Source organism: Homo sapiens, chromosome 6 (assembly GCF_000001405.40).
Source record: "Homo sapiens chromosome 6, GRCh38.p14 Primary Assembly".
NCBI lineage: Eukaryota > Metazoa > Chordata > Mammalia > Primates > Hominidae > Homo > Homo sapiens.
This window is the reverse complement of record NC_000006.12, coordinates 55,796,504-55,809,403: the sequence shown is the minus strand read 5'-3', so window position 1 is coordinate 55,809,403 and position 12,900 is coordinate 55,796,504. Positions and strand designations below refer to the sequence as shown.

The following is a 12,900-nucleotide window of genomic DNA, read 5'->3' as shown; positions in this document are numbered from 1 at the left end:
GAAGATGAATAAATTTCTATTTCCAAAGTTTCTAAGTACAGGTTGTTAAATAACTTTTACATTTGTAATTGCATAAATCACTTCTGACTATAATGAGTTGGATGCAAGAATAATGCATACAACTCATATACATTTACACACTATACATGTAGTTTGTTAAGAAAGTAGCAATTATAGTAATTTGTATATCATTTTTATTTGTGTATTCTTTTATCCTTGCAATAGATTTTTGAGGTAGAAATTACTTTAATTTTCATTTAGAGAATATTCATTTAATCTTCTTTTAATCTTCATTTAAAGAAGAAGGAAGATAACTTTAGAAAGGTGACTTTAAAGAACATAATGATTTTTTTCTAATATTAAGTAAAGCCTGAGTATAGCAAGTCAGCGTTGAAATTAAGCAGGCACCAACTCCATCTATGATTGTGGTTCCTAGATTCATGAAGGTACATGGATAGTGTGGCTCTTTAAAGTATCTGTGGGGTGGGTCAAGATGGTTGACTAGAAGCAGTAGCGATAGGAGGCTCCCATTGAGAAGAACCACAACAGCATGCAAATCCTACACCAGCAACCGAGGTATCCAGGTTCTGTCATCAGAACTGACTGGGCAGCTGGTGTGACCCATGGAGAGGAAGGAAGAGCAGTGGGGTGCGGTGGCCCACCTGAGGGCCTCATGGGGCAGAGGGGCCACCACCCCCCAGCCAAGGGAGGTGGTGAGTGAGCATGCTATCCAACCTGGGAAAACATGCTTTTTCCATGGAACTGTGCAGCCCACAGATTGGAAGATCCCACGTGTGAGCCCACGCCACCAGTGCCTAGGGTCCCAACCATGGACCTGTGCAGGTTCTCAACAGCCAGTAAGCTAGAATCTGCTTAAGCCTGCTGAGCTCACAGAGGGAGGAGTGACCAGAACCACAGCTGTGGTTGACTGCTGTCAAAGCCATTTGAGGTCCTTGGGGGAGGGTGAGAGCCAACACCGGGACAGATAACTGCCTAATACATTAACCTCCTATGGCAGGAGAAGGGCAGCAGCCATCTCTATAGCTCCAGGCTGTGCTTTTCCTTAGCTGGACCCAGGGAGACTGGATGGCTTGGTCCCAAGAAGTATCCCTCACAGCCAAACACATCAGCTGTGGCATACTGTGGACAGAGTGCCTCTTCAGGCCTGACCTTGACCCATCCCTCCTCACTGGGCAGGGCCTTCCTGCAGGAGCTTCTAAAACTCCAACCAGGTGCTCAGGGACAGAACTCTGATCTCCCTGGACCTGATCCCCTAGTGGGAGGGGTGGTCACAGTCTCCAAAGACCAGCAGACTTAGTCTTTCCTCTGGCTAGTTCTGAGGAAGTCAGGAAGCCCAGAAGAGTGGGTTTCTCCCCCCACTGAAGTACACCTCCTCCATCAAGGAACAGTCAAAGTGCTTTGTTAAACTGGTCCTGCTCCCCATGCCATCCAACTGGGTGAGACCCTCCAACAGGGATCATCAGACACCCTATACAGGAGCGTTCCTACTGGCATCATGTCAGTATATAAACACATGTCAGTACTATAAACACCTCTATTCAAATAAACTATAAAATCTAGAAGAAATGGATAAATTCCTAGACACATACACCCTCCCAAGACTTAACCAGGAAGAATTTGAATCCTTGAATAGACCAATAACAGTTCTGAAATTGAGCCAGTAATAAATAGCCTACCAACCGAAAAAAAACCAGGACCAGATCGATTAACAGCCGGATTCTACCAGAAGTACAAAGAGGAGCTGGTACCATTCCTTTAGCTACTATTTCAAACAATTGAAAAGGGATGAGTCCTTCCTTCCTTTTATGGGGCCAGCATCATCCTGATACCAAAACCTTCCAGAGACACAACGAAGAAAGAAAACTTCAGGCCAATATCCCTAATGAACATCGATGTGAAAATCCTCAATAAAATACTGGCAAACCGATTCCAGCAGCACATCCAAAAGCTTATCCACCACGATCAAGTTGACTTGATCCCTGGGATGCAAGGCTGGTTCAACATATGCAAATCAATAAATGTAATCCATCACATAAACAGAACCAATGACAAAAATCACATGGTCATCCCAATAGATGCAGGCCTTTGATAAAGTTCAACATCCCTTCATGTTAAAAACTCTCAATAAATTAGGTATTGATGAAAAAATCTCAAAATAATAAGAGCTATTTATGACAAACCCACAGCCAATTCATACTGAATGGGCAAAAGCTGGAAGCATTCCCTTTAAAAACCGACACAAGATAAGGATGCCCCCTCTCACCATTCCTATTCAACATAGTATTGGAAGTTCTGGCCAGGGCAATCAGGCAAGAGAAAGAAATAAAGGGTATTCAGATAGGAAGAGAGGAGGTCAAATTGTCTCTGTTTGCAGATGGCATGATTCTACATTTAGAAAACCCCATTGTCTCAGCCCCCAAACTCCTTAAGTTGATAAGCAACTTCCAAAAAGTCTCAGGATACAAAATCAATGTGCAAAAATCACAAGCATTCCTATACACCAATAATAGACAAGCAGAGAGCCAAATCATGAATGAACTCCCATTCACAATTGCTACAAAGAGAATAAAATGCCTAGGAATACAGCTAACAAGGGATGTGAAGGACCTCTTCAAGGAAAACTACAAACTACTACTCAAGGAAATAAGACAGAACACAAACAAATGGAAAAACATTCTATTCTTGTGGATAGGAAGAATCAATATAATGAAAATGGCCATACTGCCCAAAGTAACTTATAGATTCAGTGCTATTCCCATCAAACTACCATTGGCATTCCCCACAGAATTAGAAAAAACTACTTTAAATTTCATATGGAATCAAAAAGGAGTCTGTAGAGCCAAGACATTCCTAAGCAAAAAGAACAAAGCTGGAGGCATCATGCTACCTAACTTCAAACTATACATCAAGGATGCACTAACCAAAACAGCATGGCACTGCTACCAAAACGGACAGATAGACCAATGAAAAAGAACAGAGACCTCAGAAATAACACCACACATCTACAACCATCTGATTGTCAACAAACCAGACAAAAACAAGCAATGGGGAAAGGATTCCCTATTTAATAAATGGTGTTGAGAAAACTGGCTAGCCATATGCAGAAAGCTGAAACTGGACCCCTTTCTTACACCTTATAGAAAAATTAACTCAAGATGGACTGAAGACTTAAATGTAAAGCCCCAAATCATAAAAACCCTAGAAGAAAACCTAGGCAATACCATTCAGGACATAGGCATGGGCAAATACTTTATGATGAAAATGCCAAAAGCAATTGCAACAAAAGCCAAAAGTAATAAATGAGATCTAATTAAACTAAAGAGCTTCTGCACAGCAAAAGAAACTATCATCAGAGTGAACAGACAACCTACAGAAGGGGAGAAAATGTTTGTATTCTACTCATCTGATGAAGGTCTGATACCCAGAATCTACAAGGAACTTAAACAAGTTTACAAGGAAAAAAAAATAACCCCATCAAAAAGTGGGCAAAGGATATGAACAGACACTTCTCAAAAGAAGACATTTATGCGGCCAACAAACATATGAAAAAAAGCTCAACATCACTAATCATTAGAGAAATGCAAATCAAAACCACAGTGAGCTACCATCTCTCACACCAGTCAGAATGGCGATTATTAAAAAGTCAATAAACAATAGATGCTGGTGAGGATGTGGAGAGATAGGAATGCTTTTACACTGTTGGTGGGAATGTAAATTAGTTCAACCACTGTGGAAGACAATGTGCCGATTCCTCAAGGATCTAGAACCAGAAATACCATCTGACCCAGCAATCCCATTACTGGATATATACCCAAGGGAATATAAATCATTCTGCTATAAAGCAAAGACGTGGAACTAACTCAAATGCCCATCAATGATAAACTGGTTAAAGAAAATATGCTACATATACACCATGGAATACTATAAAGCCATAAAAAGGAATGAGATCATGTCCTTTGCAGGGACATGGATGAATCTGGTCAAGGGGAGGGAGAGCATGAGAACAAATAGCTAATCATGTGGGGCTTAAAACTTTGATGACGGGTTGATAGGTGCAGCAAACTACCATGGCACATATATACCTATGTAACAAACCTACAGGTTATGCACTAGTATCCCGGAACCTAAAGTAAAATAATTAAATAAATAAAATCAAGTATCTGTGAGTCTTACAGCTTATTGGCACCTGATACCAATGAGAAATGTTCAATTATATTTTTAAAACAAGCAAACACTTTTGCCATGTGTCTATAATATAGTACTCTTGATAAAAGAGATTTCATCAAAAGATGAATGGGCATCCCATCCAGTGCATATTAGTTTACCCAATGTCTCTTGCTAAGAGGTGATTTCATTTATAATGAAATTTTGCATTTGAACTCTAAGGATAGTGTTGTAGAGAGGTAAATAAGCATTTGCTTATTCCAGAAGATTTTCTGTACTGTACATACATCTCTTCTTACATTGAAATAGTGCAAGAAGTTCTATCTTCCACATACAAACTTAAATGCATCCTATAAGTAGCCTCATGATTATCACATTAAAAATCCCTTTACATGACTGTTTGCACCTATTTCCCCAAACTCCACAGTATTTGTCCTTTCCACATCATAACCATATTCACAGATATAAAACTTTACTTTCAATTCCTTCTCTTTCTCATAGTTAATTCACCCCTCAATGCACTGTAATTTGATTTTCATAACTCCACTCAACTAGTCATCTACCATCAGCCTCCTCTTTACCAGATCTTATACTTTTTCTTTCTTCTTATTCTCCTCAGTATTTGATATTGTTGATCATTCCCTATTTAATATGTGAAATATCCTAATCAGGGGAATATATTAGTTTCCTAGAATTGCCATAACAGATGACTAAAAACTATGATGGCTTAATACAATAGGAAGTTGTTTTCTTACAGTTCTGAAGGCTAGGTTTCCCAAATCAAGGAATTGGTAAGGCCACGCACCCTCCAAAACCTCTAGAGGATGATGCTTCCTTCCCGTTTTCATCTTCTGGTAGCCCTAGAAGTTCCTTGGCTGTGTGAAGATACTGTAATTCCAATCTCCTCTTCCATCTTCATGTGGCTCTCTTCCTTCTGTGTGTCTCTATCTTTGTGTCTCTCCTCTTCTTCTTATAAGGATACTGGTTATATTGAAATATGGCTTACCTCATCTTAACTTGATTACATTTGCAAGCATATTTCCAAATAAGATCACATTCACAAGTATGAGGGACTAGTACTTCAACATATGTTTTTGAAAGACACAATTTAACCCATAACAGGGAGTAAGCTAGATAGTGATTGATAAGAAAAATAAAATTATTGTGAGTCATAAGGAATAAGATATTTATTATAGGGATTTGACTTTCTGCAATCATGGGACCTGGTTAAATAGTTCTTGTAAGGCTGTTGCTTCTCTATCTTGTGATGGGTCTAAAGTTAGCTTCCCATAGGCAGCTGGGAAGAAAAACAGATACAGAATTGGAGAGAAAAAGAAGAACTAGAACTTTTCAGGATATGCTGGAGCCCCAAGGACAAATTAGAAACCATGTCTTTCTCATGCCTTTGGAGTTCCAACTTTAATGATGTGCGTGGCCTGCAGGGGAGATTGGTATGCTTCACCATGAATTCCACAAACTCCTTTGCTTAGGATGTAGAGAAGCTGAAGGAGGTGATCTTGCAGAAGGAATTGTGGGCCAGAATTTGGAGAAGCTGACGGAGCTGTTACTCAATGGAAGCTGAAAGAGCCCAGGTGCTCCCAACAGTAAGGTGAGCTAGCAGATCAGTGACAATGTATGCGAGCAGCAGAAAAGCCTGGCACTTTACCAATTATCCAATCATAAACTTGGGTGCTGCTTCCATTCCACTACCCAACTCCTGTGCAGATTTCTCTGATGGCTAACTTCAAAGCAGCCCCAAACAAATTCCCAAGGGAATTCTGGAATTTGTCATTTCTGTTTAGGTAATATGACAATGTACATAGTCACAACAGTCCATCCTTGTCAATTTGGCACTAATATACATCTTTTATACCCATTCATAACTTCTTCCTGTTTTTTTTTTTGTTTGTTTTGTTTTGTTTGAGGCAGAGCTTCGCTCTTGTCACATAGGCTGGAGTGCAATGGCGTGATCTCAGCTCACTGCAACCTCTGCCTCCTGGGTTTAAGCGATTCTCCTGCCTCAGCCTCCCGAGTAGCTGGGATTACAGGCGCCTGCCCCCCCCACCCCCCCACCCCAGCTAATTTTTGTATTTTTAGTGGAGACGGGGTTTTGCCATGTTAGCCAGGCTGGTCTCGAACTCCTGACCTCGGGTAATCTGCTCACCTTGGCCTCCCAAGTGCTGGGATTACAGGCATGAGCCACCGCACCCGGCACCATTCATAACTTATAAAAAATGTAATAGCAAAGTAATTCTGCCTTTTAATCCATCTTTGGATGTTGTTCATTCCTTTTCTAGCTGAGCCATACTCCCCCTTTGAAGTATTGTAATTTCAATACTGAAATATGTGATTAGCTACTATCAACACTGCTTATACTAGATGGGAGGTAGATGGGGAAGAAAAGGGGAAAAAAAGAATTATTTAATATATATTAGGTAGGTGCAAAAGTACTTGTGGTTTTTGCCATTAAAAGTAATGGCAAAAATACATATATATTTAATACAAAAACATAAATATATTAATTTCAAAATAAGGAATAAATACCATATTACAATACTCATTTCTGCAGCTAGTCACATGGTTGCAGTTGGTATTTATAATTTCCTTCTTTTACTATGCTATCAATTTTCTGTTTATTTTGACAAGCACCATGGCTGGTCACTTTTCCTTATCTAGTAAGGTAAATCAAATATTTATTGTTGAAGTGTCTGGGCCATTAGCGATAATGCCTGCAATGAACTGTGATTTTCCATTTACTTTTGTCATATGACAAGGGAGTACGAAGTGGTGTTCCAGGTGATCTCTTGTACTCTATGCATACTCCTCATTACTCATATTGTGGTAGTAGTAGTCCAATTTCCCTTTGATATTTAGAATCATTGATTCACATGGTATAGTAACCACTTACTGGCTTCTTGATTCACTGGCATGAGGAGTCGAAGTGGCCGGGTAGCTGTTTCAACTTCCAATTTAATAGAACTATTGCCATGGACACTAGAGTTAGCATTGTACCATTGGGAACTAAGAGCTCTGGACCAACATAGCCCAATGTCTTGGGAGTCAGAAGCACAGATTTTGCTAGTTGAATCATAGATAGTGAGTTGAGAGGAACCACTTCCATTTCCACCCCTTGATTTCCAGACCATGAGACATCTGGCTATGAGAGAAACAGTCATCCTTGCTATATTGGTTACTGATTTAGATCATATAAAGCTTCCTTGAAGGATATCAGTTCATTCTTGTAAAATATTGGTACCCAACTTGTGGCATAACTGAGTCTTCAAAAGGCCATCCTTTTGATGGGAAGCATGGGAAGACCGGTGACTTCCGTAAGCATGAGCCCATTTTTTATCAGAAGCGATGCAGTATGGAATTCTATGGATAAGTGAATAAGGCATTCTGGAAGTTCATGTGTGGTAATTTTGGGGAGAAGCATCATGGACAAAGAAGACAGATTCATATCCAGAGCACCCTTTCCAGAGAGAACGAAGTACTGCCCTTCCAGTACTGAAGTAAGTGTTCCAGTATAATTAGCCAAGAGCAAAGTGGAGATTTATCCTCCTGGGAAATGCTTCTGCAAGGATTTATGGTAGAGATTTGACCTTATGCATTCCTAGAGCTAACCAATCTATTTAAGTCTGTTGCTCTGCATCTGAAGCTGGGCTTAAGGTCCACAGGACAGAGTCAGAAAGGAAAGATGCATTGGGGGAAACAAGGACAAAACAGAACCTGTGAAGATAATCTGGAACCCATGAGGACAAAGTGGAACCTACCTCCAAGTCTCCAACTTCAATGATGCAGTTGACTTTCTAGCCGCCAAGTCCTTTCCTTTAGAAGCGGATGCCTTGCCCTAGATTCAGAGGAACTAAATAGGGAGAATTAGTGGGATCTGAAGGAGCTGCATGCTCAACACCAATAAGATGAACCAGCAGATCTCCACAATATGTCTAAGTTGCAATAACACTTGACCACAAGGTAGTCTTCTAAGCATAAATATGGCTACTGCTTCGCTGCCACCTTCTAAATGTTACCCAAATTTCCTTTGCAGCCAACCCTAATCCCAAACGATACACAGTAGTTCCAGCTTAGTTGAATTGATATAGTATAAAACCACCATGGAGTGTGAAAATACGTTAAATTGAAAAAGTGAATAAATGAATTAATAGATAGATGGATTTGTGAAATGACAGCCAAAGTCACTTCTTAGCTGTTTCTACCCAACTTGTTTTAGGCTAGTGGCTCAGATCAACCTTTCAGTGGTCCAGTCCAAATATCAGTGCTTTTCTTCAAGATAAGGAAAGCAATTGAGTTATGGTTTGGGAGTAAAGGGAGCTGATATTTTATAAGAGAAAGTGTTCTGAAAATGGAAAACTGGGTTCTGATCCCCCTATTGGCTAAGTGAACATGGAAAATTATTTGATTTCTCTTTAAATTTCCTTATGAAAAAATAGTTTGGCTAAGTAATTTATATCTCACTCAGTTCTAGTATTCTGTGATTTATTTTGGTCACTTTCAGAGTTAAAATCCCAGACTCATTGATTTCACATCAAACATTCTTGGTCAATTTTTTTTGTCTTATAATGAGAATACTCCATTTATTCAGCTGACTAGAAAAATAGAGGAAGTTAACATTTCCAATACTACATGCCTGGTGTGCTACTAGGCCTGTTCACATCCCTTATATATCGAATTATAAGGAGAACACATTATCATAATATAATCATATCAAATGATATTCCCTTTACTCAAGTAAAAGATCAAACAAATTAGAGCAAGAAGTTGAATGTTTATACACTTGATTTTTTGTATAAGCATAGGTAGATAATGAATACACTTAAAATAGACAAAACTATAATAGTTTGTTAATATTTCGCATACATATTTTAATTCACATGTTGTCTGAAATGATTAATATAGTATTCCTTGTTTCACTCTCAAAACATATATATGATGGCTTTTTCTTCAAACTTGTCTCATGCATCTTTGACATTATGCCTTTATCACTAGAATCACATTTTTAATCATATATCACAGTGTTAATAAGTATATCGTCTTCAGATCCATCTATGTTGTTTGAAAAGTAGCATTTTTGTATATTTGTGTATGATACTGTCATTGGAAATACTATGCTATCGAAAGTGCAGGAATCCACAGGTTGTGTGTGTGTGTATACATGTGTGTTTGTTGTTGTTTTTTAGCATTTATTTAAATGCATAAATGTTATATCCACAATGCAACCTCTAACTCTATTCTTATATAAGGGAAGGGTACTTATATAAGTGCTTTTTAAAAAGGTGATGTTTCACTGTGGGGAGGTCTGTGCAAACCTACCCCAAAGTCCCAGGAATCTGAGAGGCTGAAGAGACAGGCTGACAAAACCAGTTTCCTTGGAAGAAATATTTAATAGGGACTTAGGAACAGAAGCCATGTCTGTATCTCGGGCAGCAGCAAGTTGAGATGGTGGATTCCCACACCATCACCCAGGGAGCAGAGATGGTTCAGAAGGGAGCTGTAGGACAATTGAAGTATGATAACATAAAGGTTGTTTGACCTAAAGGCAGAATTTGCGTAAGTACCTGCTCTTACACAAGGAAGATAGATAAACTGAAAATATTAGAGGGCTTCCCAGAACAGAAGTTAATCAGAAGCCAATAGAGTGGATTAGCTTTCAAGATGGAGTTGCTTTGGCCTCCACAGGTAAACTTCTAAAGACAGTCAATAGTTGAAGTTTTGAAACAACACTCCCAGAAATACTTTCTAAACTTTTTGTGCCTTGTTTTCTCTACCTCCTCCTTCTCCTTTTCTCCTCTTTCTGCTCCTCTCTTTTTCTTCTTCCCCCTTTTTGTAAATACAAAATTAACACTGATAGAGGTTATTTGAAGGTAATGTTCTTCTCTAAATAATACTTTCCCAAAACTCATAGGTCAAAATGAAGCAATTTAGAGACATTTGTATTATGGCAGACCCTATAAAAGATTGCAGATTTAAGTGTAATTTACCTCTTAACCAGATAGATATTCAAAGTATTGCACTTGGTCTTGATCAAACATTTTAAGGCAGGGATTGTCATACCATTTTTAATATACAGGGAAATTGAGGTTGAGGAATTCCTTAATTGTTCAAGATCTGTCTGATCTCCAAATCTTTATAGCACTAGATTGATATTGATAAAAAGATGATAAATATTAATTTCTTAGCTATATAGCTTCTATATTCTCATTCCACCAATTAGCATCTTCGGTTGAGTTATGCTAATGGTAGTAACTTAAATTCTGCTGAATTTTGGTTCCTGCTGTTTAGTCTTTAGTGTAGTGTCCTTCTGGTATTTTAAGATTCTCAAGGTATGTATGCAAAACTCTTTCTTCTTTCACTAAAATAAAAGGCACTCATGCAAGTAAATATACACAAACATACCAATAGCCCATGTATAACTAGACATGTTTAAACTTCTGGTCATGATGAGTCAGACCTGCTCAAATGTATTTGTATTGACAATAAATGTATGTATATATTATATATTACTATTCACCTTTGAGCAGCTAAACTTAATATTCCAAAATATTTCATATCTGATAAGCTTATTTGATACTACAAATCTAACTTTATCTGTTAAACCTGACTCTGTATTTAACAACAGCATGATGACTTTATTAACCATAGAGGAAATTATTATACTGATCTATATCACAATCAAGATGAACAATGAAATTTTACCTGAAAAAGAAAATGCAAATTTTAGTCATTATGATTTCTATTAATATAAATTTACTTTCACATATTTGTTTTTGAAAACCTCTCAGTCTTGATAAGTGCTATGTTGTCAATAAAGACAGACTATTCACATCCAGGAATATTTACATTCCCACCTTAAAAAAACCCGCTTTATTAGTATTATGTATTAGTATTAGTATTATGGGTTGAATTGTGCCCTCTCCCCCGATGTTGAAGTCCTAGCCTCCAGTAACTCAGAATGTGACCTTTTTTGGACATAGGGTCTTTGCAAAGGCAGTTGACCTAAAGTGAGGTCAGTAGAATGAATCCTAACCCAATACGACTGGTGTCCTTATGAAAAGAGGAAATTTAGACACAAAGACATGCATAGGAGAAAAGATGATGAGAAGGGATACAGGGAGAAGACAACAGTCTACAAGCCAAGGAGAGAGCCTGGAACAGATCTTTTCCTCCGGTTTCAGAAAGAACCGACCCTGCTGACACCTTGATTTTGGAATTCTAGCCTCCAGAAATGAGAGAAAATCAATTGCAAACTCTAGTCTGGTATTTTGTTATGACAGCCTTAGAAAACAATCACACGCAGTGGCTCACGCCTGTAATCCCAGCACTTTGGGAGGCCGAGGTGGGTGGATGACGAGGTCAGGAGATCGAGACCATCCTGGCTAGCATGATGAAACCCCGTCTCTACTAAAAATATAAAAAATTAGCCGGGCGTGGTGGCAGGCGCCTGTAGTCCCAGCTACTCGGGAGGCTGAAGCAGGAGAATGGCACGAACCCTGGAGGTGGATCTTGCAGTGAGCTGAGATCGCACCACTGCACTCCAGCCTGGGCGACAGAGCTAGACTCCGTCTCAAAAAAAAAAAAAAAAAAAAGAAAAGAAAATAATCACAAACACCATTCTGAAATATTTGCTTATGCACATTCATGTAAATGGGCTTTTTCTTTGCTACAATGTAGGCTTTAATTTCAAGTATTGTAACTGCACCTTATTTAAAGGATTTATGGAATTATTTTTGCTACAAATAAATATGTTTTTTCTTTATACATGTATTTTCTCTATCGCACTGTTCTTAAATGCATTACTATTTAAAATGTTCTTTTATTGGATATTGTAAGAATTTCTTTTAAAAAGTGAAGCAAAACTGGTGAGGCAGGACAACTTTAACAAGTTTATTTTATACTGTTCATGGGAAATACTTAGGATATTTTACTATTCCCGGTAGTATAAGTGCCATATTTTAGTGGAGAAATTTTATACTTCAAAATAAATCCCCTCTAACATTCTACAGAATGGGGTTGGGGGGGACTTGTTTTTAAGAACCTGCTATGAAAGGGGCCATATGAGTAAAAATTACAGAATTATTACCACTGTGTTTATTACTCATAGTCTTGATTCTCCTCAAGCATATTCTGTTGTCTATAGGTAATGCAGAAGAGCTTCGTATATGAAAGGAGAAAGGAGAAATTAAATAATTTGTCAGTCAAAAGTAAAATAGCTTTGACCATTAATAGAAAACTGTGCACTTATGAAATCAATTAAACTTTCATAACTTTTCAGAGGTGAACTAGAAATATATGGCTCTTTTTAGACCATACCACTTCATCTTCCCAGATTTACTTTCCAATGAATTGCAATTTGCATCACCGAAATTCAGATATTTAGGCCATTCTTGATGCTTTTTCTAAATATATACATCATCATTCTCAGTAAACTATCGCAAGAACAAAGAACCAAACACCGCATATTCTCACTCATAGGTGAGAATTGAACAATGAGAACATATGGGCACAGGAAGGGGAACATCACACTCTGGGGACTGTTGTGGGGTGGGGGGAGGGGGAAGGGATAGCATTGGGAGATATACCTAATGCTAGATGACGAGTTGGTAGGTGCAGCGCACCAGCATGGCACATATATACATATGTAACTAACCTGCACATTGTGCACATGGACCCTAAAACTTAAAGTATAATAATAAAAAA

General features: G+C 38.4%; 1 protein-coding gene across 5 annotated transcripts in view; it reads left to right on the top strand.

Moving 5' to 3' along the window:
- BMP5 (bone morphogenetic protein 5) overlaps positions 1-12,900 on the top strand; it is a 121,938-nt gene that overhangs the window by 66,187 nt on the left and 42,851 nt on the right. The window contains exon 3 of one of the 5 annotated variants that reach the window (XM_024446524.2): positions 5,676-6,079. The exons of the other annotated variants lie outside the window; for them this stretch is intronic. Coding sequence (XP_024302292.1) covers positions 5,676-5,682 — 7 coding nt within the window. The 3' untranslated portion in view covers positions 5,683-6,079. Of the gene's footprint in view, positions 1-5,675; positions 6,080-12,900 lie in introns of those variants that run through there. 5 annotated transcript variants of the gene reach the window in all.